Source organism: Homo sapiens, chromosome 11 (assembly GCF_000001405.40).
Source record: "Homo sapiens chromosome 11, GRCh38.p14 Primary Assembly".
Classification (NCBI taxonomy): domain Eukaryota; kingdom Metazoa; phylum Chordata; class Mammalia; order Primates; family Hominidae; genus Homo; species Homo sapiens.
The window spans coordinates 130,454,798-130,480,797 of NC_000011.10; the positions used below are offsets into that span (position 1 = coordinate 130,454,798).

Genomic DNA, 26,000 nt, shown 5'->3' on the forward strand with positions numbered 1-26,000 from the left:
CAGATGGGGGAGGAAGGTTGGAGGGAATCTTTTTCTTTTATTTTTAACCGCTGGTCTAGTCAGAAAGGCAAGTGAGTTTTTCTCTTTCTTTAGGTCTTGCTCTCCTTCTGCCTTTGAACTTCTCTGTAGTTGTTTGCGTCCCCTCCCACCCCTGGAATTTTCCCCCCAACCTTTCCTTGACACCTTGACTCGATCACGTGGCATGATGGAAAGAACACAGGCTTGGAGTCAGGCAGAGCTGAGTATGAATCCGGGGGCTTGAACTCTCTAGCAATGGACATTGCGTGAGTCAGCTATGTGCACTTAACTTTCCTCACTCTTAGAATGAGGATAATGATGATGACATGATACCTCACTTACGGGGCTGTTGCACAGATAAGTGTTACTGAGTGGTCCAGAATAGGCCCCCAGTTATGGTAGTTATTATCATCTCATCACTGCCTTCGTAGTCACTCAGTACATGCTTCTTGTTGAATAATTAGCTATGGATCCCTTGCCAAACTCAAGTTTGGGATGGCCCTGATTTAAAGCATTCTGTCCCATTGTCCTTTCAAGTATGCTTAACATTTGGTCCAATTTTTGTATGGAAGCTATGGACATCAGAATTTGCTAATCCCACTGATCTGTAAACTCCTTTTAGGCTGGAACCTCTTTAGTCTTTGTAAGCCCCTTGGTGGATCCCTGCAAGTCGGCTGTTCAGTAGGTGATTGTGGAAGGAAGGTGCAAACAGAAGTGCAAGGGCTGCCTGTAGCTCTGGATGCTTAGGTAGCTCACCTCCCTTCCTGGGGATCATTCATCCAGCTTTTGAGGCGGTCAGGCTGCAGGGTTGGGAGAGGGAGTCTTAGATTCTTCTGGCATTTCATCTTGGCTCTTTGCCATGAGGTTTTGCCCTGAAGAAAGGAGGGGCTCCAGAGAGGTGTGTGTTTAATCCACCTTGGAGTCAGCAGACAAGGTGCATGGCAGGGCAGGGACGGGGTCAGTGTGTCAATGCAGGTGTGGGGCAAGGAGCCGGGGGCTCGTTCAACCGGAGAGGTGGCGCAGACGGTGCACTCAGAGCACTCTCGGCACTTAATCCTGCCTCTCCCTCTCCCCAGGCCTCTCCCCACTCAGTGTCAACCGGCACTTGCTTGAGCTACAGGGCGAGGCCTTCCATTCTTGGGGCGATATGCACCAGAGGCAGCAGGAAGTCATGGTGACAGCTCAACCCTGCCGCTGTGCTGCCTGGACTTCAATCCTCACTCTGCGCCCTTCCTCTCTGTCTAACCTTGGGCTTACTGTGTGACCCTGGGCTAGTTACTTACCTTCTCTGGGTCTCTTCTGTGCGATGGGGCCTGATAATGGCATCTTCTTCCTACAGCTGTGAGGATTAAATGAATGAAGGCAGATAAAACTCTCGCGACAGTCTGGCACACAGTAGCCAGTCAGTAACTGTTAGCTATTATCGCTCTTCTTGTAGGCGCCCTCTCTCTTGAAGGGGTGATTTTTTTTTTATAGAAGATTTAGCCTTCTTGCAAGCTTGGGGTCCCTCTTCTTCCTCATTGAGGTAATTATTATTGTTTTGGTGACCTCACTCTCTTGCAGTATTACCATTTTGTACATCTGGAGGGATTTATATGCCAGTGAAATAGAATCTGCCAGTAGAAGTAACTAACATTCTTCGTCACATTGCCAAGGCACTGAATTGCTAGATTTTATTTCTTCTAGCAAAGCAAGGCCCTCCCATCCTTGGGGATTACAAACAGACATGGATTTTGGGCTGGACAAGGAAATACAGTGATGCATGGCAGAGATTCGGATGGGAAACAAGTTAAAGGTACAGTAGTAATACTAGCGCAGGGTGCTTTTCACCAGTAATTATGGTCTCCTAACTAGTGTTGCATGATTTAGACCAAAGAACATAGCTTTGGATTGGGGACCTCATTCTTTGCTTAATAGCCATGGGGACTGGGGTGCATAATCTCAAGTCACTGAGCCTCAGTTTCCTCATCCGCAGCATGAGAAGACAGCCCTGCAGTCCTGTGAGTATAATACCTGGATGCTGTGATGTAGCCGCAGAGATGAGCTCTGGCTCTCCTGCCTAGAACTTCAATGGAAGCAAAGTCCGCTACATGAGAATGCGTATGTCTTCTGCCACATTAAAAATGTTAAAGTGCGGCCAGGTGCGGTGGCTCATGCCTGTAATCCCAGCACTTTGGGAGGCTGGGGTGGGTGGATCACTTGAGGCCAGGAGTTCGAGAGCAGCCTGGCCAACACGGTGAAACCCAGTCTCTACTCAAAATGCAAAAATTAGCCAGGCGTGGTGGCGCATGCCTGTAATCCCAGCTGCTCGGGAGGCTGAGGCACGAGATGCTTGAACCCGGGAGGCAGAGGTTGCAGTGAGCCGAGATCACACGACTGTACTCCAGCCTGGGCAACAGAGCGAGACTCAGTCTCAAAAAAAAAAAAAAAAGTTAATGTGCTTGATTTTTGTGCATCCCTCTGTCTTTGTACTGCTGGAAAACATTGAGCATCTTGGTACATGCCTGGGAAATGAGAAGAGGTAGGAAGGTGGTTCACAGGGATGGCAGCTGGTGGGAATCGTGGTGGAGGTGTGTATGGAGTGACACTGGTAAACAAGCTACTGTCAGATGTTATCCTTGTTTATTTATTTAAGGTGTGGCTCCAATCCTAAATTATTTTATAAGAAGGGACAGTTAGAAAATAACAGTCCAGGAGGATTAAGGTTCCTGGCCAAGATGATTCCAGGATCATCTGGAAAAGTGGCTGCAGCTACAAAGAAAAACAGCCAATTGCTGGGAATCGTGAGGCAGGTAGGGGCTGGGTTAGGAATACCTACACCTTCTGGGAGGAAGAAGGCAGAACAGCTTCTGTTTTTTGGAGGCAAGCACTTGGGCTGAAGAGGTTAAGGCAGTTTTAGTGCCTCTGAGTTCATTCCAGAAGGGTGGAGATTTTTGATGCCACAAAGGAGGCACTGCTGGGCCCCTGTATAAGCACTCGTAGGCGTTCAAAGTGCAGAGGCCCAGCGGTTCTTCATTGAGTCCCTGCCGGGGTGGGGAGGAGGACAGGCAGAGCTTCTGACCCCATACAGCTGTGTCTTCCCACAGTGAAGACGCTGGTTACTGCAAGACGGCTGCTTCCAGAGCCACTCTTACCCTCAGGAAATTTGCCGGCTCTTTCCTTGTTCCTCTCATTTGATCCAGGGAAACCGGGACTTCTTGATGGAAAGAACAGGTTGCTTCTGGCCAAGAAGGGCCTGCAGCTGCATGTCTTTGCTCCAGAGAAAATCCACCCTCCCTAGGAGGAAGGAGGCTTTTGGCCGTAAGGACTTCCCAGCCACAGAGGCGGCTGCGGGGTGGCTGAGTTCCAGACGCCCTCTAGATCCCAGTCTGAGCATTCAATCTGGTCTAGCGGTTTCTTTCTTTCTTTTTTAAATTTTAATTTTTGTAGAGATGGGGTCTTGTTACGCTGCCCAGGCTGGTCTTGACCTCCTGGCCTCAAGTCGTCCTCCCGCCTTGGCCTCCCGAAGTGCTAGGATTACAGGCCCGAGCCACTGCATCCTGCCTGGTCTAGGCATTTCTGAAGAGCGGGGCCGGGGAACAGGACTCTGAATCTCCACGTGGGTGACTTCCACTTTTCTGAGAGCGAGTGCTGTCAACTACATGACTTGGGTCAGTAGACAAGATGTTCCTTGGGGTTCTAAAAATATGTCATTCTGTGGGTTCCCTTTATAACCTACAGGGCCAGAAGGGGCTGCATGCTCTGGGACTGGGGAAGGAGCAGAGGCTGAAAGCACTGGTTGATTCAGGCTCTAGTTGAAAGTTGGCCCTTCCCCAGAGCAGGAAACCAAGGCCCCGAAGAGAGAGGACTTGGATAAAGTCACACATCTACTTAGTGATAGGGCCAGGACCGGAATCTAGACTTCTTGATTCTTATTTCTGCGCCCTCTCCCTCTTACACAGGGAGCAGTGAGTGTGCAGGGCAGCCCAGAGGCAAGGGTAGGTGCCTGCCCCCGCAGGCTGCAACTGCTAGGCTAGAATGTCCAGAGCTCCAGCCTTGCTGGGTCCTACACCACACCCGTCCTACACCTACATCCTTCACTATGCCCTTGCAAGAGCCTTCATCCCTGCCCTCATCTTGGCTCCCTTCCCCACAGTTCACACGCTGATCCATGTTTCTCAGCTGTCACATTCCCTAAACTGCTGGTCGGGTGAAGGTCCCCTCCCAAGTGTTTTTTTTTTTTTTTTTTTTTTTTTTGAGACAGAGTCTTGCTCTGTCACCCAGGCTGGAATGCAGTGGCGTGATCACGGGTCACTGTAGATTACCCTCCCAGGCTCAAGTGATCCTCCTACCTCAGCCTCCTCCTACCAGCCTGGCCAACATGGCGAAACCCCATCTCTACTACAAATACAAAAATTAGCTGAGCATGGTGGCAGGTGCCTGTAATACCAGCTACTAGGGAGGCTGAGGCAGGAGAATCGCTTGAACCTGGGAGGCAGAGCTGGGATTACAGGTGTGCACCATCATGCCTGGCTAATTTTGTTTATGTTTTGTAGAGACAGGGTCTCACCATGTTTCCCAGGTTGGTCTTGAACTCCTAGACTTAAGCGATCTGCCTGCCTTGGCCTCCCAAAGTGCTGGGATTACAGGCATGAGCCACTGCGCCCAGGCCCCTCCCAAGTTTTGACAGTGGTTGTTTTCTAGGTTTCAGAGCTCTTGGGAAGGAAAACTTTCTGGGAGAGTGGGTCTTTGAAGACGAAAGAATATGGGAAGAGAAGGGCATTTGAAGTCCTCCATGGGGCTCCTAGAAGTGGAGGTAGTGCTTCCAGCAAGCACAGGTGGCAGACCTGGCTGGGTGTGCAGGGCACACATCACTGCCTCTGGTGCACCCGGGTTCAGGCTGGTCACCCTCGGAATAACTGTTCACTCATTAGGAGGTGTGACTATCATCTGACCGTGGGAAGCCAAGTTTGACTGCTCAGGTGGTAAACCTCTGAGTGCTTTGGATTAAATTTTGCTGATTTTCTGTACTCTGACCGCTTTTCCTCCCATGCCCCCTGGCTCCTGGCTCCCTGCGCTGTGCTGCTGCCCACCTTCGCCCCTTGCCAGCATGTACACAGATGCACATGTGGCCTTGCATATACGTGCACATGCATGCAGACACATGCTTCTTTGCCTGTGGAAGGTGGTAGTAATAGTCGTTATTTCAGTGGGATGTTGTGAGGATTAAATAGGGCTGTGTGTGCAAAGTGCATGCACAGTGTCAGCATTTAATACATCATAGCCATGATGAACTATAGGCATGAGCCTAGTTCCCACCTCTGACACATAGATACAATAATATGTCTGCATCATAAGCCTATTGTGAGGATTAAATGAGGTGACACATGTAGCAGCTTCCTGTGAAATGCAGAATGCCTTATGCATTAAAGGCAGCGATGTAATGAGAGAACCAGCATCACTGATTCAACACACATCTTCTGTTTTTTTTTTTTTTTTGAGACGGAGTTTTGCTCTTGTCGCCCACGCTGGAGTGCAATGGTGTGATCTTGGCTCACTGCAACCTCTGCCTCCCAGGTTCAAGCGATTCTCCTGCCTCAGCCTCCCTAGTAGCTGGTATTACAGGCACCTGCCACCATGCTCAGCTGATTTTTGTATTTGTAGTAGAGATGGGGTTTCGCCATGTTGGCCAGGCTGGTCTTGAGCTCCTGACTTCAGGTGATTCACCTGCCTCGGCCTCCCAAAGTGCTGGAATTACAGGTGTGGGCCACCGTGCCTGGCCCAACACACGTCTTCTTAAGAGGAGCAGAATGTACACAAATGTCTTATCCTATTTCCAACTTTTGGGCTTTTAAGTTATCTGAATGTGTTTCTGGCCAACGATGCTCAGTAAGTTCTTTGAGATATCCACCCCGGAAGCCCTATCCTGCCTTTCTGCGTCCCCTGGGAATACTTCCTGTCAGGGTTTTCTGCTGGAGGCCCTAGGTTCTGTGGCCAAGTTAAGCTTCAGTACAAAACGAGGGACCTTCCTGCTTAGGTGGCCATCTCTCTATTTCATGTATCTTTCTTCCTAGCAGCCACTGAGCGTGTGTCCCCTTGAGCTTCTGTAGCCAATGAAACTGTGCCGGGATGGGGTCTGGGGTCCACCTCAATGCTTCCTCCCAGCCTGATCACTGGCATGGGTGGGTCCTTGGCCAGCAGCCCTCTGGCTGAGAATCTTAACTTAATTCATGGTTGGCCAAAAGGCAGCCCAGCAAAGACCGAGGCTGCTCGAAGCTGCCTCTGGGTGGGAATGGGACTGGCTTCCTCCCTGTTGCCTCAGCGAGCCTCCCTTGGCTATGGGAGTCACTGTTTTTCTGGTCTGGAGGGCCGTCTCTCTATAAAGTAGTGGCCCTTGTAGTTTAATTTTGTACCTCCTAATTTCCTCCCAGAGGACCTCCCTGCATAGGGTTTGGGCAGAGTGTTTTTGGTGAAGCCACAGAGCTCTTCCTGGGTTTCCTCCCTCAGCCAGGTTGATTCTGTGAACAGCCCCACAACCTCCTAGGAAGAAGAGCCCAGCTGGAAGGTGCTGGGCCTGGTGAGGTTGGAATGAGATGAGCTGGAATGTCCTATAGGATGTCCTTTCTTCCCTTCAGGTCCCTTCTGTCACTGTCTCTAACTTCGGGCTGGCTTCTGCTTCTCCCCCACCCGGCAGGACCTGTGTGGAGCCACCACCTGTGACACCCTGGGCATGGCTGATGTGGGTACCATGTGTGACCCCAAGAGAAGCTGCTCTGTCATTGAGGACGATGGGCTTCCATCAGCCTTCACCACTGCCCACGAGCTGGGTAAGGCTGGATAAGCTCCTCCTGGGGTCTTCTGGGTTTGCCTGGGGAGCCTGGAGGGTGGGAGACGTGTGTCTTTGCCCCCTTGTGTTCTGAAGCCTTAGGACCCCTTCTTAGGGCACAGTGAGCCTTAGCAGCAGCTTTGTACTTTTTCCGATTGCCCCAGCCCCGCTGGCCAATGACGTGGTTTGAGCCCCTTGGCAGAGTGTCTCAGCACTTAGGCACTGTGGGGACACCATGTTAACGACAAGGAGGTACACTCTGTTGTCAGGGAGCCCACAGCCTGACGGAGGGGACAGAAAACACAAGAACATGATCTTGAGGACATTTGAAAGCAGTCTGTCGATAGTTGGCAATGACCAGCCTGAAAACCTCTGACATGGGCTTTCTAGTTCCCCTGCCCCATTCCTCCCTCCAACCCCCATGTCCTTCCTCCTGCCCTCTCAGTCCTCTTGCCTTACCCCACAGGCCACGTGTTCAACATGCCCCATGACAATGTGAAAGTCTGTGAGGAGGTGTTTGGGAAGCTCCGAGCCAACCACATGATGTCCCCGACCCTCATCCAGATCGACCGTGCCAACCCCTGGTCAGCCTGCAGTGCTGCCATCATCACCGACTTCCTGGACAGCGGGCACGGTAAGCCAGGACGGCGGGAGGGCAATGAGGCCGCCTCGGAGGGGGCTTTGCTGCTGCCCCTGGTGGAGGTGCTCACTTCTCCGTCCTCTGTACATTAGGTGTGTGTGCCCCCTCGGAGCCGGGCTCTGACATGAGTGCATTCCTGTTGCCCTTGGTTCATTATCCCCTTACCATTCAGATTCTGGGCTAGCCAAACCTCATCTTCCCAGCTCATCCTAACGAACGCCCTCGGCTCTCTGCAGGTGACTGCCTCCTGGACCAACCCAGCAAGCCCATCTCCCTGCCCGAGGATCTGCCGGGCGCCAGCTACACCCTGAGCCAGCAGTGCGAGCTGGCTTTTGGCGTGGGCTCCAAGCCCTGTCCTTACATGCAGTACTGCACCAAGCTGTGGTGCACCGGGAAGGCCAAGGGACAGATGGTGTGCCAGACCCGCCACTTCCCCTGGGCCGATGGCACCAGCTGTGGCGAGGGCAAGCTCTGCCTCAAAGGGGCCTGCGTGGAGAGACACAACCTCAACAAGCACAGGGTGAGTGAGTGCTGGAGCTGCGCTCGGGGACTGCTGGGAGGAGGGATGGAGACCCGGGGGCCTCGTCTGCCCTTGGTCTTCACCAGGAAGGTGCCTATCACAGACTGGCCACGGGACCAGCACTGTTGCATGGCTGAGCTGTGCCTTCACTGCCCTGTATATAGTCCTATCCCCTTCTTGACTCTAAGACCGGAGAGAAAAGCTATGGCAGGTCAGAGGACTTGGTGAGGCCTCAGACACATGGGGAAAAGCCTTCAACAGGACGTGGGGTCTCAGCCCTGAGCTCCGGGCCTCGTCCTACCTGGGGAGGAGCTCTGGGCTCAAAACTGAACACATAGTGTCAGGAGCGGCTCACTCGCTGGCTCATCCCTTCCTTCTCTCATCCACTCTTTCCCAGTGTGTTCCACACCCAGGGAGCTGGGGACCATGCTCAGGAACAGGGCTCAGAGCTGCAATGAAGCAAAGCCCTGGGCAAGCTTCGGGAATTGGCTGCATTCTGAATCAAGCTTCCATTTCTGTTGCGATTGCTGTTTTTCTTTAGCAGGAACATAGTTGAATAATACTTGTTTTCCCTCCTGATAAATACGAATAGCAACCAAACAAGAACACATTCAGAATGCCAAATATTCTCTGTATATAATAACTTTATCTTGTTCAGGTCTTGTTTTGGGGGTTTTGGGGGTAGGAGAGGGATTTGTACTTTTCCGGGCAGGAATAAGAGGTCTGTTCTCCTCCCGGATCCTGGAGCTGACTGTCCCTTCCCATCCCCTGTTCTCAGCTCGGGGACGACTTGCCTCTGGGCACAGAGGCAGTGTCACAAAAAAGCATCCACCAAGCACATTATCAATTGCCCTGAGATGAGTATGGCACAGAATTATTTAAAATGTTTTTCTGTGTTCTGGGGATACATGTCTAATTAAACCTTCAACCGTTGGCTAGGCAAAAACCCACTGTGTTCAGGGAACTGTGTAAGATACTGTGGTGGTCAGAAAAAGAAATAAAACACAGGCCATGCCTCAGAGAGCTCACAGTCAAGTGGGGAAGCTCGAATTGTAGCTGTGATACAAGACACAGAGAGGCACATGTTATGCGGAAGGACAGAAGGATGAAAATTGTCACGGGAGAACCAGGGTCAAGAGATTAATGATGATGAGAGGGGGCTGAGAAAACTTGGAGGAGGTTGGATTTGAAGAGAGGCTGAGGGATAAGTAGGATCCCTGTAGGCAGAAACAGAGCAAGGCAAGGAGGCGGGCGGTCCTGGGCAGGTCGGAGTGAGCTGCAGGGCTGTGTAGATGAGGGCTCTATGGGAACCATCTTCAGGAAGGTCATTTGGGGCCAGACAGCAGCCACCTTGATTGCCAGGCACTAGAAGGTCCTGAGGACAGGCAATATGTGGCCAGTGCCTCGTCCTGAGAAGATGAGGCTGGAGGATGCAGAGACAAGGTGAGATAATATTGGATAGAGAAAATGCAGTCTGAGAAGCACCATCTTTCCACACTTTCTGGAATTCTGTCTATGATCAGGCAAGATCTACCTCCTCAACCTCTTTTCTAAACAATCCCTTGGCCACCTTGTTTTAACTGAAACTTTCCAGGAAACCTTCATGGAAGTCATTGCCCTCACTGGCTGAGGTCAGATCATAAAGCATGTCTTACAAATCACTGCAGCTCCCACAGATCTGTTTCAGGAATCCCATTCTGACCACCAAGGCCCTGTCTTCCCAGATTACTCCCTCTGGGTTTTGGATTCCAACAATTCCTCAATCCCATCTGGGCCTACAATCTATTGCTACAACAACCTTCCCATCATGCCTCACCCTTCCCATCATGCCTTCCCATCATGCCTCACCCAGTGAGAAAAACATGCAATTGTGCTCACTGGTCTCAGTTTAAATTCATGATCTGAGCTGGGCACATTGGCCCCCACTTGTAATCTCAGCACTTTGGGAGGCTGAGGCAAGAGGATCCCTTGAGCCCTGGAGTTTGAGACCAGCCTGGGCAACATGGCAAAACCCCATGTCTGCAAAAAATACACAAATTAGTGGGATGTGGTGGCAGATGCTTGTAGTTCCAGCTACTCAGGAGGCTGAGGCAGAAGGATGGCTTGAACACGGGAGGCAGAGGTTGCACTGAGCCATGATCACGCCACTGCACTCCAGCCTGGGTGACAGAGTGAGATCCCATCTCAAGGAAAAAAAAAAAAAAGAAAAAGAAAAAAGTAAAATAAATTGATGACCCAGAAATTTAGGTGGGCCCATAATGCTGTCCAGGAGTCATATATTTCATTTCCCCAGTTGGCTTACTCTCCCAACCTCCTGAACCGTTAGTTCACACCCACCATCACCTCTCTCCTCCCATTACTAACTCTTTCTTCCTCCTTTTCAGCTTTCACTGATGACCTTTCTTCTCATTTCCCGACGGGGGAAAAAACCAAGTAATCAGAAGGGAACTTCCACCCACCTCCCGACCTGCTTCCGCACCTGTTCTCCACTGTCCCCCTTTACAGTGGCTGAATTGTCCCTGCTGTGATCTGAGGCCATGCTGTGTGCTTTGCGCGGGAACCCCATCCCCTCTCGCTTGTTAGGGACATCGCTGATCAATTCTCTCTCTCCTGCAGTGCCAGTATTTCCCAATCTTGAGCTGAATCATGCCTTTTAGAATACAAACCTGTTGTAATTTCTCCCATCTGAAACAAAACTTCTTATGATCCCACTTCCTCTGTGGTCTGTTTCTCTGACTCCCTTCACAGCAGGTTCCCGGAAGGAGTTGTACAAGCTTGCTGTCTCCAATTCCATCTTCCCACTTTTCTCTGCTGCCCATTCCAAACAGGCTTTGACTGACATCATTTCTCCAAAACAACTCTTATTAAGGCTACCAAATGGCCTGCACACTACGAAGGTCAGTGACTGTTACCTTTCCTCCCATCGTCCAGCCGGCTAGCAGCATTTCTGGCAACCCAGAGCTCTGGGCCCTGGAACAGGGTCTCCACTGCCTCTCGGTTGTCCTCCTCCTCCTCACGCTGCCCCTCCCCTTCTCATTACCTTTACTGCTTCTTCCTTGTACTCTCATTTTCTTTTTTCTTTTCTTTTCTTTCTTTTTTTTTTTTTTTAAGACAAGAGTTTCACTCTCGTTGTCCAGGCTGGAGTACGGTGGCATGATCTTGGCTTACTGCAACCTCCACCTCCCGGGTTCAAGCGATTCTCCTGCCACAGCCTCCCCAGTAGCTGGGATTACAGGCGCCCGCCACCACACCTGGCTAATTTTTGTATTTTTAGTGGAGATGGGGTTTCATCATGTTGGTCAGGCTGGTCTCGAACTCCTGACCTCAGGTGATCTGCTCACCTCGGCCTCCCAAAGCGTTGGGATCACAGGCGTGAGCCACCGCGCCCGGCCTGTACTCTCATTTTCTGAAGTTTGGAGTGCTTCGGCACTCATTCCTTTCCCTCTTCACCATCCACACTCAATCTCTTCGCTGATTCATCTAGACCATGGCTTTAAATACCATTTAGAGCTTGAAGACTCCCAAATTTGCATCTTCAGTCCAGGCCTCGCTCCTGACCTACAGACTTGCTTCTCTAAGGGAATCTGGACGTGTCCATTGGACACCTGATTAGCATCTTATACATGTGTCTGTGAGACTGAGCTCCTGGTCATCTCCCCTGAAGCTGCGCTGGCAACTCCACATTCTGGTTGCTCAACCTGAAACCCTGTTTCTCTCACATGCTTCACACCCTGTATCTCCACGTCCCTGTGGATACCATCTTCAAGGCAGATCCAGGATCATTTCTCACCACTTCATCTGCTCTCACCCTGGTCCCAGCCACCACCCCCTGTCCCCTGGATTAATGCAGTTGCCTCCAACTGGTCTCCCTGCTTCTGATCTTACTCCTTACAGATGATTCCCGCCATGGCAGCTCTTTTGGAATGCACCTTAGGTTATGCCACTTCTCTGCTCAGCACCCTTTAGGGGCTTTGCCCCGGCTCCCATTTCTCGCTGCCTTGTTGGCCCTAGTGACACTGGCTTACTTCAGGCTCATCTCCTCTCAGGGCCTGTGCACTTTCTCCCTCTGCTTGGAATGCCCTTTCCCTGATGTCTGCCTGGCTTATGCCACCTGTACTTCCTTCAGGCACAAGAGGGGCCCCCATAATCCAGAGCAGCCCTTCCCAACTCCTCCCTACCACCTGCTATGAAGCCCACCCAATGCTCTGTGTTCACGGATTCATTTTTATTGTCTGTCTCCCCACTAGGGAGTAATTGCTCTGAGGGCAGGTACTTCCACAAGTGTTTGGTGAAGGAATGAGTGAATGGCACAGGGCGGGAGCACAGTGAATGTTTTTTGTTCAAATAGGAAGCAATGATACCAAATAAAAACCAGGTAGCATTGTCTCAGCAGCTGCAGGAACAGTGCTATGTGCTGAAGAAGAATTGGGGATCTTGAGGCCTAGGCACACTCTTTCAGTCTTCTGATGGCCATTGTGGCTTTTGAGGGGGCAGCTTCTGGGGTGTGATGGGGACAAAACCCACAGTGCAAGGCTCTGGGGAGTGAGTATGAGGAAAGAGCAAACGTGGGTGACGCTGTCAGGGAGTGAAAGGATGGAATGAGGTGAGGCGCTAGTTTGAGTAGTTTGAGGCCAAAGCAGGGTGGAAGGACGGCGGTGGTGGTTTTTATAGGATCAAACAGATTTTGACAAAATGAAACAAAAGCTATCTGACAAAAGGGTAGATTGAATAAATATGCTGGATATGTACACAGGTTAAAGTGTTTCCATCACATGCAGCCAGTTCCTGCTTAGTTCCATGTGAGTTAGGCACTGTGAGGGACGGTCGGTGGCAGAGTTTTAATTCCAGGCGAGTACAGCAGCCGGGCTGCTTCCTCTATTGCTCAACTGATGTGTGTTCAGAGGATCCAAACTCATTTCACTGTCATTCTAAGGAAAACATCATGGACAATGTAAATTTTATTCTCTTTCTACCCTGTTTAAAAAAACTAAAAAAAAAACCTAAAAAAAAAAAAAAGTCCTCCAAAACACTGCACAATTCACCCCAAAGCCAAACCGAGTTTTAGGATTGCTTAATAATGTCTTATCTTTATCTCTTCTTAAAAGAAACTTCAGAATGGTTCACGGTGAAACTTTCTCAAATACAGCCCCTGATCGAGGTTAAGATCAGTTTGGTCTGGCATCAAGTCTGAATTATAGAACACTAAGGAAGAAAAACATTCACGTCTATGGTGACATTTTTTATCCGCAGGGCTGGGGGTGGCCATGCCTTAGGGATGCCTGTGAATGCACTAACAACAAATAAAGGGAATCTTTTCTGTTTTTTCCTTTTATTCCCGGCAAGCTGTGAGATAAGAGCACTCTCTGAACTTTTGCCGGGGCCAGCGTGGTGCTGGGAATTTTCGTGCCTGTTACGCCACTTCTGTCATCCATCTGACATCAGGCCCGAGTATTAGTATTATCAAACCCATTTTTGCAAGTGAAGCACCGGAAAGCTAAGGAGGGTTTGCCCGTTGCTCAAGCCCACTAGGGTGCTGTGGTGTGGGCAGAGTCCGTTGAAAACATGTCTGGCCAGGCGCGGTAGCTCACGCCTGTAATCCCAGCACTTTGGGAGGCTGAGAAGGGCGGATCACTTGAGGTCGGGAGTTTGAGACCAGCCTGGCCAACATGGTGAAACCTCGTCTCTATTAAAAATACAAAATAAGGCCGGGCGCGGTGGCTCAAGCCTGTAATCCCAGCACTTTGGGAGGCCGAGGCGGGCGGATCACGAGGTCAGGAGATCGAGACCTTCCTGGCTAACACGGTGAAACCCCATCTCTACTAAAAATACAAAAAATTAGCCGGGCGTGGTGGCGGGCGCCTGTAATCCCAGCTACTCGGGAGGCTGAGGCAGGAGAATGGCGTGAACCCAGGAGGCGGAGCTTGCAGTGAGCCGGGATAGCGCCACTGCAGTCCAGCCTGGGCGAAAGAGTGAGACTCCATCTCAAAAAAAAAAAAAAAAAAAATAATTAGCCGGGCATGGTAGCCGGCACCTGTAATCCCAGCTACTCGGGAGGCTGAGGCTGGAGAATCACTTGAACCTGGGAGGTGGAGGTTGCAGTGAGCCAATATTGTGCCATTGCACTCCAGCCTTGGCAAAAGAGGGAGACTCCACCTCAACAAAAAAAAAAAAAAAAAAAAAAAAAAAGGAAAACACATCTCACATCTGTCTCACTCTACTGCCCAAAGAGGCCTCTCTTTTGCACGGCCTCCTTTGCACCTGGGAGCAGTTGCTGTTTGCTCATTAGTTGGTTGGAATGTCGGGTGGGCTTGGTGTGCACTGGCCATTTGTTTATTGTTTTTTCCTTCATGATACAACATTAATTTCATTCCAGGAAGGTGGGATGAGAACTTGGAGGCTGTACAGTGTAGTTTTCTATGGGCTGAGGGGCTGGGTGTGGCACCTGGATCCACCAAGGAATATAACAGGCTCTTCCTCACAGGTGGATGGTTCCTGGGCCAAATGGGATCCCTATGGCCCCTGCTCGCGCACATGTGGTGGGGGCGTGCAGCTGGCCAGGAGGCAGTGCACCAACCCCACCCCTGCCAACGGGGGCAAGTACTGCGAGGGAGTGAGGGTGAAATACCGATCCTGCAATCTGGAGCCCTGCCCCAGCTCAGGTGAGGTGGGGAGAGCAGTGGTGGCCTGGGCCCAGGGGAGGTGAGGCTGGAGGTCCCCCCACCCCACCCCTACTCCATGTAATGCATGGCCTCCAGGTAATTGGGTACACAGGTAATTCAGGTAGTCTAGTATTTCTATCATGGATTCCTGCTGATGACAAAGGGACTGCAGTCAGGATTCCAACCTTCAGGACAAAGCCTGGAAGTGGAGAGGTGCAGATTCTTCTTGGGATCATTCCTCTTTCCACTCACCTTTGGCAAGGGTGTTTCCTTCTGGATGCTTAGCCTGGGAGACTAAATGGATCAGGGGAATGATACACTAGAAGTCCTCTTATCTGAGGCCTGCCCAGCCCATCTTTGTAAGCAGGACTCCAGAGCCCAAGAACTTGATGGGGAAAACAAAATTACATCTCTATTTTTATTAATGTTTCTATCTAACATTTAGTATTTCTTTCAGGGAGAAATTAGTATTTTTTTAACTACCTTTCCATCTAAAATTTAGTATTTCTTTCAGTTAGACAACAAAACTACAATAGTAGTAGAAGTACCTGTGACTTTGTCATCAATAGGAACCATGGATATTTTCACGTGACATTTTGGTTGTTGCAGAATTTTCAAAATGCTGTTTAAGCTCATCCTTACTTCAGAATTATAGTAGTTATCAGGTTCATTACTGAATCATATATATATATACATATATATATATATATATGTGTATATATATATATATATATATATATATGTGTGTATATATATATATATATATATATGTATATATATATATATTTTCTGAGGTAGAGTCTCACTCACTCTGTTGCCCAGGCTGGAGTGCAGTGGCGCGATCTCGGCTCACTGCAACCTCAACCTCCCAGGTTCAAGCGATTCTCCCACCTCAGCCTCCCAAGCAGCTGGGATTATAGGTGCCTGCCACCATGCCCAGCTAATTTTTGTGTTTTTAGTACAGATGGGGTTTCACCATGTTCGTGAGGCTGGTCTTGAATCCCTGACCTCTGGTGATCTGCCCGTCTCGGCCTCCCAAAGTGCTGGGATTACAGGCATGAGCCAGTGTGTCCAGCACTGAATCATATTTAATGCATTAACAAAAAAGCATGTATATCACAGACTTGTTTCAAAATATATCGATAGTTGTATAGCAAATGTAACTGGTGTTGTCGTTAATCTATATAATTTACTTTATGCACTGAGTTACATTATTCTGAAAATAGTTTGCAACCTAGAGGGAGTTTGAGGCTGGGTTACTGGAGAAGGTTGTGCATAGCTCAGGGGATGTGTTTTCATCTGCGCCCTGGGTCCTTTGGGCCCAGCCTGCTTTAGTGCTTTCAGATGGGGGGAGGTTGCAGCTTTGGTGATGAGGGTGGGAAGGGCTAAGAGAGCCACGGCAGGCTGGGAGGGAGGCTTGTCCTTTGCACCGGCCTTGTCCCTTCCCCTCAACTTCTTTCTTATGCTTCTCCCTCCCTAGCCTCCGGAAAGAGCTTCCGGGAGGAGCAGTGTGAGGCTTTCAACGGCTACAACCACAGCACCAACCGGCTCACTCTCGCCGTGGCATGGGTGCCCAAGTACTCCGGCGTGTCTCCCCGGGACAAGTGCAAGCTCATCTGCCGAGCCAATGGCACTGGCTACTTCTATGTGCTGGCACCCAAGGTGAGTGAGCCTGGGGCCTGAGAACAAAGTAGGGACCAGGTCTTCCGGGGAGCATCAGCTGAGCTGCCCTGCTCTTCCTTCTTTTTCCCCTTCTGGGGTGCTGCAGGTGGTGGACGGCACGCTGTGCTCTCCTGACTCCACCTCCGTCTGTGTCCAAGGCAAGTGCATCAAGGCTGGCTGTGATGGGAACCTGGGCTCCAAGAAGAGATTCGACAAGTGTGGGGTGTGTGGGGGAGACAATAAGAGCTGCAAGAAGGTGACTGGACTCTTCACCAAGCCCATGTGAGTTCTGGGCCCTGAAGGTCCTGCCAGGGAGCAAAGGGAGGGAGGTGGAGTTTCCCAGGGTATTGGAAGCTTGGGTTAGACTGGGGTAAATGTCAGATCCAGCCAGTACCCTTGCTGCAGAGGCCACCCATACCCTTCTAGGGCTGCTAGTCCTTCACTCACTCATTCATTCACTCATTCATTCATTCATTCATTCTTTCAGCAAGCAAAGACGAATGCTGGGGGAAGACCCACTTAACAGGAGATGGTATTCAGGAAGGTGGGCAGAGTTGTTAGGGGCTGTATAGTGTTCTAGAGTAAGACCGACCTGATTCAGATCGCAGTTACCCATTTTCTGGATGACCTTGGGCAAGTGAACTCAATCTCCAGGTCTCTAGATGTCCCCACTTGTAAAGTGGGTATAATACTAATATATTTCATGTGTGCTCTTGTGGGGAATAAGGGAGTTAGTCCAAGTAACACGGTTAGCATCGTAGCTTCACCTTGATGAGGCTGAACGTGACAGCTGCCAGCCTCTCCCTGGGCCTGAGGCCCTGACCTTGGGGATCAGATTGAGGTGAGAATGGCAATAAACTGCCAAGAGACAGCAAGTGGGCAGCTGGGACTGAAGGAGTCTTCACGTCTTGGGCAATCCCTGGGCATCTAGTCCCAACTTCAGAATCTGGGCCTCCCAGCTTGAGCTTCCTGAGGTCAAACATATGCTCCTTGGAAAGCCCTGACCCACGTTCTAGAAGAAGAGGGGGTAGGCAGGGCACCTGAGGTCCCAGTTAGGGGTGGAGGCTATGGTTGGCCTAGAAAATTTGGGAGCCCAGGTGCTGGTGATGGAAAGGCCTAGATGGCTGTCCTGGAGCCTTGACTGTGCCCCTGGACACGTCGCCCTCTCCTGAGCCCCTGGGTGGTGATGCGAAGGGAGGATGCCCAGCCCTGTCTCTGGGAGCTCGGGCACCAGGGACGGATGGCATTCCAGGCTGTGCTTTGCAGGGACCTGTGGTGGCAAGGCCACGTGGGGAGTGGGAGGTACATACCCCAGGCTTGCCTCACTGGTTAAGTGGCAGATGTTCCTTTTACAGCCTGTTGGAGCTGGAAGGAGCCTTAGAAATCATTTAGCTTAACCTACTCATTATGCAGATGAGGACACCAGAATCCAGAGATACTGGCTTGCTTAAAATTGCCAGGAGTTGGCGTGTGAGCCAGGCTGGATCTGCGTCCCTGCCTCCAGGGCCAGTGTCCTCTCACTGCATTGAGCTCCTAGCCTCAGGCTCTGGGATGGTGGACTTACTCCTCCCGCCCCACCCCTCCTCCTCCTCCTCCTCCTCCTCCTCGTCCTCATGGCAGATGTCTACATATCCTTGATGTGTGCCAGGCACCACGCTACATGCTTTCTGTGCTTTGGTGGACTCAGTCCTCCCTGCAATTCAGTGAGGTGTGTGGAATTCTGAGCTCCACTTTACAGGTGAGGATGTGGAGGCTTGGAGAAGTTCAGCAGCTTTCCAGCACCAATCGCCAAGGGGCAGGGACCTCTCTGACTCCAAAACCTGTGCTTTTACTCCCATGCCAGAATTCACCGAAAGCTAGGTTTACTGAGGAAAACAGATCCTGGAGCATAAGGTCCTCAGGTCCAGGCTTCTATCTGATGCACGGCCCCCCTTTCCCCCGCCAGGCATGGCTACAATTTCGTGGTGGCCATCCCCGCAGGCGCCTCAAGCATCGACATCCGCCAGCGCGGTTACAAAGGGCTGATCGGGGATGACAACTACCTGGCTCTGAAGAACAGCCAAGGCAAGTACCTGCTCAACGGGCATTTCGTGGTGTCGGCGGTGGAGCGGGACCTGGTGGTGAAGGGCAGTCTGCTGCGGTACAGCGGCACGGGCACAGCGGTGGAGAGCCTGCAGGCTTCCCGGCCCATCCTGGAGCCGCTGACCGTGGAGGTCCTCTCCGTGGGGAAGATGACACCGCCCCGGGTCCGCTACTCCTTCTATCTGCCCAAAGAGCCTCGGGAGGACAAGTCCTCTCATCCCAAGGACCCCCGGGGACCCTCTGTCTTGCACAACAGCGTCCTCAGCCTCTCCAACCAGGTGGAGCAGCCGGACGACAGGCCCCCTGCACGCTGGGTGGCTGGCAGCTGGGGGCCGTGCTCCGCGAGCTGCGGCAGTGGCCTGCAGAAGCGGGCGGTGGACTGCCGGGGCTCCGCCGGGCAGCGCACGGTCCCTGCCTGTGATGCAGCCCATCGGCCCGTGGAGACACAAGCCTGCGGGGAGCCCTGCCCCACCTGGGAGCTCAGCGCCTGGTCACCCTGCTCCAAGAGCTGCGGCCGGGGATTTCAGAGGCGCTCACTCAAGTGTGTGGGCCACGGAGGCCGGCTGCTGGCCCGGGACCAGTGCAACTTGCACCGCAAGCCCCAGGAGCTGGACTTCTGCGTCCTGAGGCCGTGCTGAGTGGGGTCATCGCTTTCTCCCCCTCACTCTCCACCCCACTGATATGCCAGCGTTCTGCCAGCTGGAGTAGCGGGCAGAGGACGGTGGCCAGGGGCTCACGCCACGATGTCACCCACATCCGGGGACAAGGACCATGGGCTGGGGCGAGAGGTTCCCTCCTCCTCCCTGGACTGGGCAGAGGGAAGCCCAGGAACTCCCGCACAGTCTACCTCAGGCCCCGCTCCTCGGGCCGGTTGCGGGGAGAGGCTTTGAGGTGCAGGGCAGAAGGTGCTGAGGCCCAGTTTCCAAGGAACTTGGAGGATGGGCACCTTCCAGGCAGAACTTCAGGGACCCCGGCCCCCAGAACGGAGGCCACAGGCTGCTGGAAGAGCCATGTCCCAGCAGCTTGGCACCCTCAGGTGGCCCCATGGGCTCTGAGCCGTGTCTGAACGAGGCAGGGTTTTCACGGTGCTTTTAGCCCACTTTCCTTTTTGAACTGACATGGACTAAGCAATAAAAGCTGGCTGGGGCTGGGCAGAAGCCACGGGGAGAGTGAGATTAGGGCCCCTGGAGCCTGGCACTCCACCTTGGAAGACGTGGACGTGCACAGGGAGTCCCGAGGTTTCTCATCCTGCACTCTTGGCCCTCCTATAAAGAAGCAGCCTCTCCTTCCTCTGATGTGCAGGGTGTAGGACTAGTGGTAGGGCTGCCACGGAAGTGTCCTCTGAGGCTCTGCAGGTAGCGGGGAAAGCCAGTAGGGAGTCTGCTGTCTTCTTCAAGATGGAGCCGGCCATTACAGAAAGATGTTGACATTTGCTAGGGGCTATGCAGTCTGTGGCTGATGCAGGGAGTTTTCAGAAAGTTCTGGAGGGTTCTGCTGTCACTGGACTGGGGTTGGTGCTGAGCTCTGGGCCTGGCTTTGGGAGATGTCACCCTGGGATAGGGAGGAGGAAGCTGCATTTCTAATGGCTTCCTCCTCCAGAGAGGCACGTATATGCAGGCTGACATCCGAGGGTCTGTGTCGCCTCAGACAGCCCTGACAGTGGCCACAGTCCCGTACCCATTGTGAGGGGCTGGGGCATGCCTAGGAGGGCTAGGTGCTGAACATCTATGTGCCTATAAACTCGTCTTCGTTCCAAACAGCTACTGCTGTCTGCCCTGGGCACGTCACGTTGCATCCTAGGCCTTAGCTTCTCCACTGTTTGCTACCTCAGATTATGCCCTCTGGGAACCCAGCCGTATCCCTCCCCTAGGACAGTGGTGACCTGGTCCTTCCACCACACTCAGTCTTTGGAGAGCGAGCTGTCCAGCCACAGAAATGAGGGTGTGGTGCGTGGCTTCCTGCTCCCCACAGCCCAGCCCCCTGTTGGGGCTCCAAAGCCGAAGACAGGGCCTCTTCAGACTCCTTGGGAGTAGGTTTCAGGAGGCACCAAGAATCAATGACTGACCCAGGGGGCCTGGCAGCCACTAGTATGAACTGCTGGAGACCTGTCTGTCTTATAGACATGTCAGGAAAATAGAAACAGGCATTTTCTCTAGCTCCAAGTGGGGAGATATTTTGGGGTCACAGCTTCTTTGGCTAAGCAGGGTGTTTCTTGAAGGTTCAGATGCCCCACTGTGTACATGGGATATTCTGCTTCTGAGTGTAGGTGATGAATCCAGGTCCTCAGTGGAGAATTTTCTGGAGCTAAGATCAAAGCATGTGTCTTCCTGGGAGAGAAGAGTTCCGTTCTTTTATGTGGGTTTCCCTAATAGTCAGAATCCACAAACCAGCCAGCCAGCCAGCCAAGCCTCTGCGATGATGTTCTCATCCGGTCTAACGCTGGGCTGGAAACCTTGGACAGAGTTCATGCGGGGGCAGAGGGGGTGCCAGTCTCTGAGGCAGGGCTGCAGTCACCCCTGAAGAACTAAGTGAACAGGAACCCCTCTGTGCCAGTGACCACTGTGGGGCTAAAGGGACAAAAAGGACCAGGGTACCAGGCAGAAGCAGATCCTTGATAGCTGACGACAGCACTGCGCCCTGTGCTTGGTGCACTCCCTCCTTCAGGAGGAGAGGGTGGCATGGGGTCTGTGCGGGATGGCAGGGGGATTGGGTGGGTGGGAAGAGAGGTGCCATCGGTAGGAGGCTGGCCTCCAGTAGAGGAGAGCAGCTTTTGCCATCAGTCACTTTACAAACCATTTCAAGGAAGGACAACCTCTCTGGCTCCTGACACAAGCCAGGCCTCGGTGCTTTTATCTGTTGTGGTGGTTTTTCTTCTTTCCCTTTTTAAAAGACGCATGACCAAGACAACCTAGGGAGTTTGTCTTGCTTGCCTTTGACTATTTCCTTAATCCAACCATGCTCTCGAGGGCTGAGCAGAGACTAGACTCAAGGCACAGGTTTCTGGTGATGGAGTAAAGTTACAGCGGTATCTCATGTCTACACAAGAAGAGGAACGTTCTGAAAGCTCCAACAACTTCTTGAGGGGGATGGACCAATACAGCTTTGGGCTCAGGATTCCCTAGCCTCCTCTGCCCATCGCGTGCACTGATTGGAGGAGTCTGGCCCAAACACTCTCATATGAACCTCGACATGCTGGAGTGGGGTCTGGCAGGAGCTGATGACAGTTTGAGGGACTTGAGTGTCCCTAGCCTGGCAGTTGGCTCCCGGAAGCACTAGACACTGACACTCATTGGTAGACCCTCCCTCCCCGCCGTTGTGTTTGGTTCTTTTGCACTCCATGTACTGCAGAAGGATGGAAGGACCTGGGTGCTGGCTGGGCTGTGTATACTGTGTATACAAGGGAGCTGGCTGCTGAGGTGACCACAGCCTTCTCCTAATAAAGCTGTAAGTATTTAAAACCTGTGTCCTGCCTCTGTGACTGCTTCTCATTCATGCATGCATTCCTCACATCCATGGAATGCCCAGCTTCGCCAGCCACTGTGCTAGGAGCTATGGAGACAGCAGTGACCTTGACAGGCACAGTCCTGGTCCTGTGCAGCTCCCAGGTTAGCTGAGGAGGCAGAGCTCAAGTCAGCAAGCAGAGAGTTGTGGCAGATCGTGCTACAAGTGAAGGAGACACCAACTGATGCTGAGAGTGGGAGCTTGGATGTGGGCGTTTGATCGCATTTGAACTTTTTCAGAGAGAAGGAGCTGAAAAAAGAAACGAAGAAAAAAAAGCTTGGGTGTGGGAGAGAGTGATCAGGGAAAGCCCCTCAGAGGAAGGGACAACGAAACAGATTGAAGGGTGAGACAGCAGCCCTGTTAAAAGGGGACGGGCCTTGTAGCAGACAAGCAGAAGGCCCAGTCCTGGGGGCCGCTGGGGCGGGGTTTCAGGAGTGCTTGAGAGAAGCTCTGGGGCCGTGCGTGGGTGAAGGGACGAGGCACGGGAGAGGCCAGAGGGGCCCCTGTCCTGTGGGCTTCCAGTCTCCTGCCTTAGGAGGAAACCCCAAGTGTCCCGAGGGAAAGGTTCCTTCTCTTTGGAGAGAGAATGTTTCTCTCTTCCTAGTTTTGTGCTGGTCTGGAAATGTTAGCAAATATACAGGCGTGGGAGAGGTGTGACGCATTGCAAAGAACATCTAGAAACTCGTGTTGGTCGCGGGTCTGAGATCCTCTCTTGGAATCCTCATTTCCTACCTGCAAAGTGAGAAGGGTAGATTCAGTGTTCTATTAGGGCACGTTCAGCTTTAGCAGTCTGGGTTTCTAGGCCCAGTTATGGTTTAGATTTTGCTAGCTGATGGTTTGTTTTCAGTTTGGGGTTCAGAGATGAAGGGGTTTCTCCTGTTGACTTTCCAGCAGGGCAAGGCCATGGGGAATGACTTCCTCTTGAGCTGCGAGAGCTGCCCCTTCAGGCATGTGGGTGAGGGATGTGGGGAGGTTGGACAAAGTTTCAGCACTTGATAGAAGGTTCTGGAAGAAGGAAGAACTAGCCAGAAGAGGCTGCATGAGTCTATGAGCTAGCAGAAGGCCCAGAAGGGAACTGCAGGGGTCTGGGTTAATGTATAAACTGGAAGTCAGCAATTGTAAGATCTTTCTAAAATTGCTCAAAATGTTGTCATATTCCTGGGGTTATTTTTGTAATCCTTTTTGTTTTCCATTGAAGCAATTGCCAGTAAAACCTTTCTAAGGAAAAGGTCCTCTGGGCTGCTTTGGGGATCAGCAAATTAAAGAGGAAGCAGAGGAGGCTGGGTCCCAACTACAGCGGCGCCTGGAGGCTCAGGAGAGCTCCAGGTAAGGCAATGGGGTGTGTGGCGGGCAACAAGCTTGGCTGCATTTTAAAGTTTCTGGAGAAGGAAGCAGCAGTTTCCTAAATTTGCTGGCCTTTGAAGAGAGGTAGGAACGATTTGCTTTGTAATCCATCCTCTGGAGGGGAATGCGTTCTTGCCCCAGTGAGAAAAAACCTTGATAATTACAAAAAGGTGTCGACCCCTGGGTCGTGCTCTGCCTGCCCAGTGAACCCTGGCGAGCCCCCAGCAGGCTGAGCTGGCGTGGCCAAGGGCAGCGCGTGTGACCCCAAGTGTCTTTCCTTTGCTCCTTGGCTTGTCTCCAGCCCTCATGGATGAGTCAGCCCTGAAGCCTGCAATCCCAGCAACAAATCCCAGAAGAGCAGAACATCCCCCTTCATCACTGCCATGGTGTCACCCCTCAGCCCCCGGCAGCTGTGAGAAGGCAGCAGTGAAATGTTTGCTGCTCCAAAGCATGAAACTGGGGAGGGAGAGGGCAGCCAGAAACTCAGCCTTCACCTTCCCCTCCCTTCAGGCCCACCCCTTCGTGCTCAGCTGGGCAGCCCTGCCTTTGTTTTGCTCTCCTGAGCTGTGGTCAGTAACGTAAGTCACGTTCCAAGCAGTGACCAGAATGTTGTGAAGGAGGAGATAAGAGTTCCTGACCTCCCGAGGCATTCCAAAGAAGAAACAGAACTATTTGTTTCCAAAGGAGAACAATTTTAGCAGAAAGGGTAAGATAGAGGGAGATGAAGAGAGGAGGGAATCTCCTCGTGAAAAACTGGATTTGGGAAAAGGGTGAAAATATTGTCATGGGGAATGGCTGGAATTTGATGAGATTTTAGCTGTACTCCTAGGCTGTTAGAAACAATTGCCTTCGTATCATTCCCCGTTCCTGTACCTAGCCACGGTCCCAGACAGTGTCCAGGGCCTTAAGCCACTGCTGTCCCAGACATCTGACCAACAGTTCAGATGACCTCAGGGGACTGGGATTCTGGCCTCAGCAGGGAGTACCCCGAATCTCTGCCATGGGTAATTGAGCAGATACTCCTGATGTGGTTTTGTTGTTGTTGAGGATTTTGAGAAAAGAGCCTTTGAGAGTGCTCTGGAAATGTGTTCAGGAGGATGACATGGCTTTTCTAAGCACCCTCCCTGGGCTGAGTCTGCAGTGCATGGGAACCTGGTTCTGAAGCTGCAGTTACACACAGCACCCAGAGCCCAGGGCTTGGGACACAGTCAGTGGTCAATGAGTATTTGTGACGCAGAGGCTTCCTTGGGAACACACAGTAAACCAAGAGGGATGAAGGAGCCTGTCTCCGGTGGAAATGTGGGGACGCTTCTCAGTGTAGGCACTGTCTGTCTGCATACATGGTCCTGTTTGATCTTCACCGCCTGCCCGGTGCTGCTGCTCCTTGCAGCCCTCTGCTCAGCTCACGCATTTCATACGCTTTCCTTGGGGATCACGTGCTATCTCACTGCTCAGTTAAAACCAACACATCAGTGGATTCTGCGTCTGCATACATAACCCTCCCACCCACCTGTGTTCACCCAGACTCCCCACCAACCCCACACAGACCACCCCAAACATCTCATTATTCATCCAGTCACATGACTTGATTCCACCTCCAGGATATCTTCAAACTTGGTCCCTTTCTTCCTTCCCACTGCTGCTGCTGTAGTGCAGGCCAGCATCATGTCTCACTGGAGTATATCCGTAGTCTGTACCTGTTTTCCCTTGTTTCAGATTCGTCCGCTTTCAATCTTTCCAGCAGGTGTGACATTTAGTGACAGCAGGTGCCCCATCTTGAGCTCTCATGGCACCCTCTGCGTCTTCTGACATTGAGCGAATTGCTTGTCCGTCTCTTTGGCTATACCCTAAAGACCTCGAGGGCAGGCTTTAATTGTCTTGGCACTAAGTGCTTGGCACACAGTAATCATATAATGATAATAGCCATCACCCAGCATTAACTATATATAAGCATTCTATTAAGGTCTTTACTTCTCTTATTGTATTTATTGTTCATAACAACATTATGAATTATATTCTATCACTGCCCCTCCTCGTGTATCAGGAAGCTGAGGATCAAAGATGTTAGGGACCTTTAGATATTCCCCCGACTTGTAAATGGCAGCATCAGGACTCCGAGCCCTGTATTTACTGAAGAAGTTGTAGAATGAACCGCTTAGCCTACTCCTCGAGAAACATTTTTTTGGGGGAGATGGACATGAGAAAATGATTATGATGGCGCATGAGAAGTGCTCCAACAGAGGTATGCTTCTAGATCTATGGGAATTATACACGAAGCAATTGCAGGAATCACTGAGTGGACCTGGGAAGGAGTCAGAGGAAATGATGCTCTTGAGCTGAGTTTTGAAGAATGAATAGAATTTGTTGGGCAGATAAGGAGATTCCTGGAAGTGTGGCCAGCACGTACGATGGCATGGAGGTCAGGAATGAAAACAGCTTGATGTGGCTGGACTGTAGAATACATGAGAGAGTGGTGGGCTTGAAGCCTAGGCTGGGCTGGGGTCTGATCATGGAGGGCCTTCTATGTTGCATTAGGGAGTTTTTGCTTTGTTTGACAGGCAGCAGAGAGCCATGGAAATATTTTAAATCAGACTGTAATTAGCTCACCACTCCAGTGAGCTGGTAGTAAGCATGGACTGGGATAGGAAAAGACTGTTGGCAGAAAGACCAAGTAAGAGGCTCCTGCAATAATCCAGATTTAAGACCATGAAAGCCTGGCAGTGTAAGTGGATTGGAGAGGATGACATAAATTCTAGAAATATCTAGGAG

General features: G+C 51.6%; 1 protein-coding gene across 2 annotated transcripts in view, besides 1 other annotated feature; it reads left to right on the plus strand.

Annotated features, from left to right (window-relative positions):
* The window catches only part of ADAMTS15 (ADAM metallopeptidase with thrombospondin type 1 motif 15), a 28,001-nt gene extending 6,153 nt beyond the window's left edge, over nt 1-21,848 (plus strand). For both annotated transcript variants that reach the window (NM_139055.4, XM_005271419.5), the window contains exons 2-8: nt 6,692-6,824; nt 7,290-7,457; nt 7,700-7,983; nt 14,465-14,642; nt 16,123-16,304; nt 16,411-16,586; nt 18,250-21,848. In NM_139055.4, coding sequence (NP_620686.1) covers nt 6,692-6,824; nt 7,290-7,457; nt 7,700-7,983; nt 14,465-14,642; nt 16,123-16,304; nt 16,411-16,586; nt 18,250-19,024 — 1,896 coding nt within the window. In that variant the 3' untranslated portion in view covers nt 19,025-21,848. The remainder of the gene's footprint in view (nt 1-6,691; nt 6,825-7,289; nt 7,458-7,699; nt 7,984-14,464; nt 14,643-16,122; nt 16,305-16,410; nt 16,587-18,249) is intronic.
* Nucleotides 22,890-24,089: an enhancer, noted in NCBI's record as "BRD4-independent group 4 enhancer chr11:130347582-130348781 (GRCh37/hg19 assembly coordinates)". NCBI's record gives its function as "activates an origin of replication core promoter dependent on BRD2, P300/CBP, MED14 and CDK7 cofactors, and independent of BRD4, by STARR-seq in HCT116 cells {active_cell/tissue: HCT116}" and the evidence as "EXISTENCE:reporter gene assay evidence [ECO:0000049][PMID:35650434]".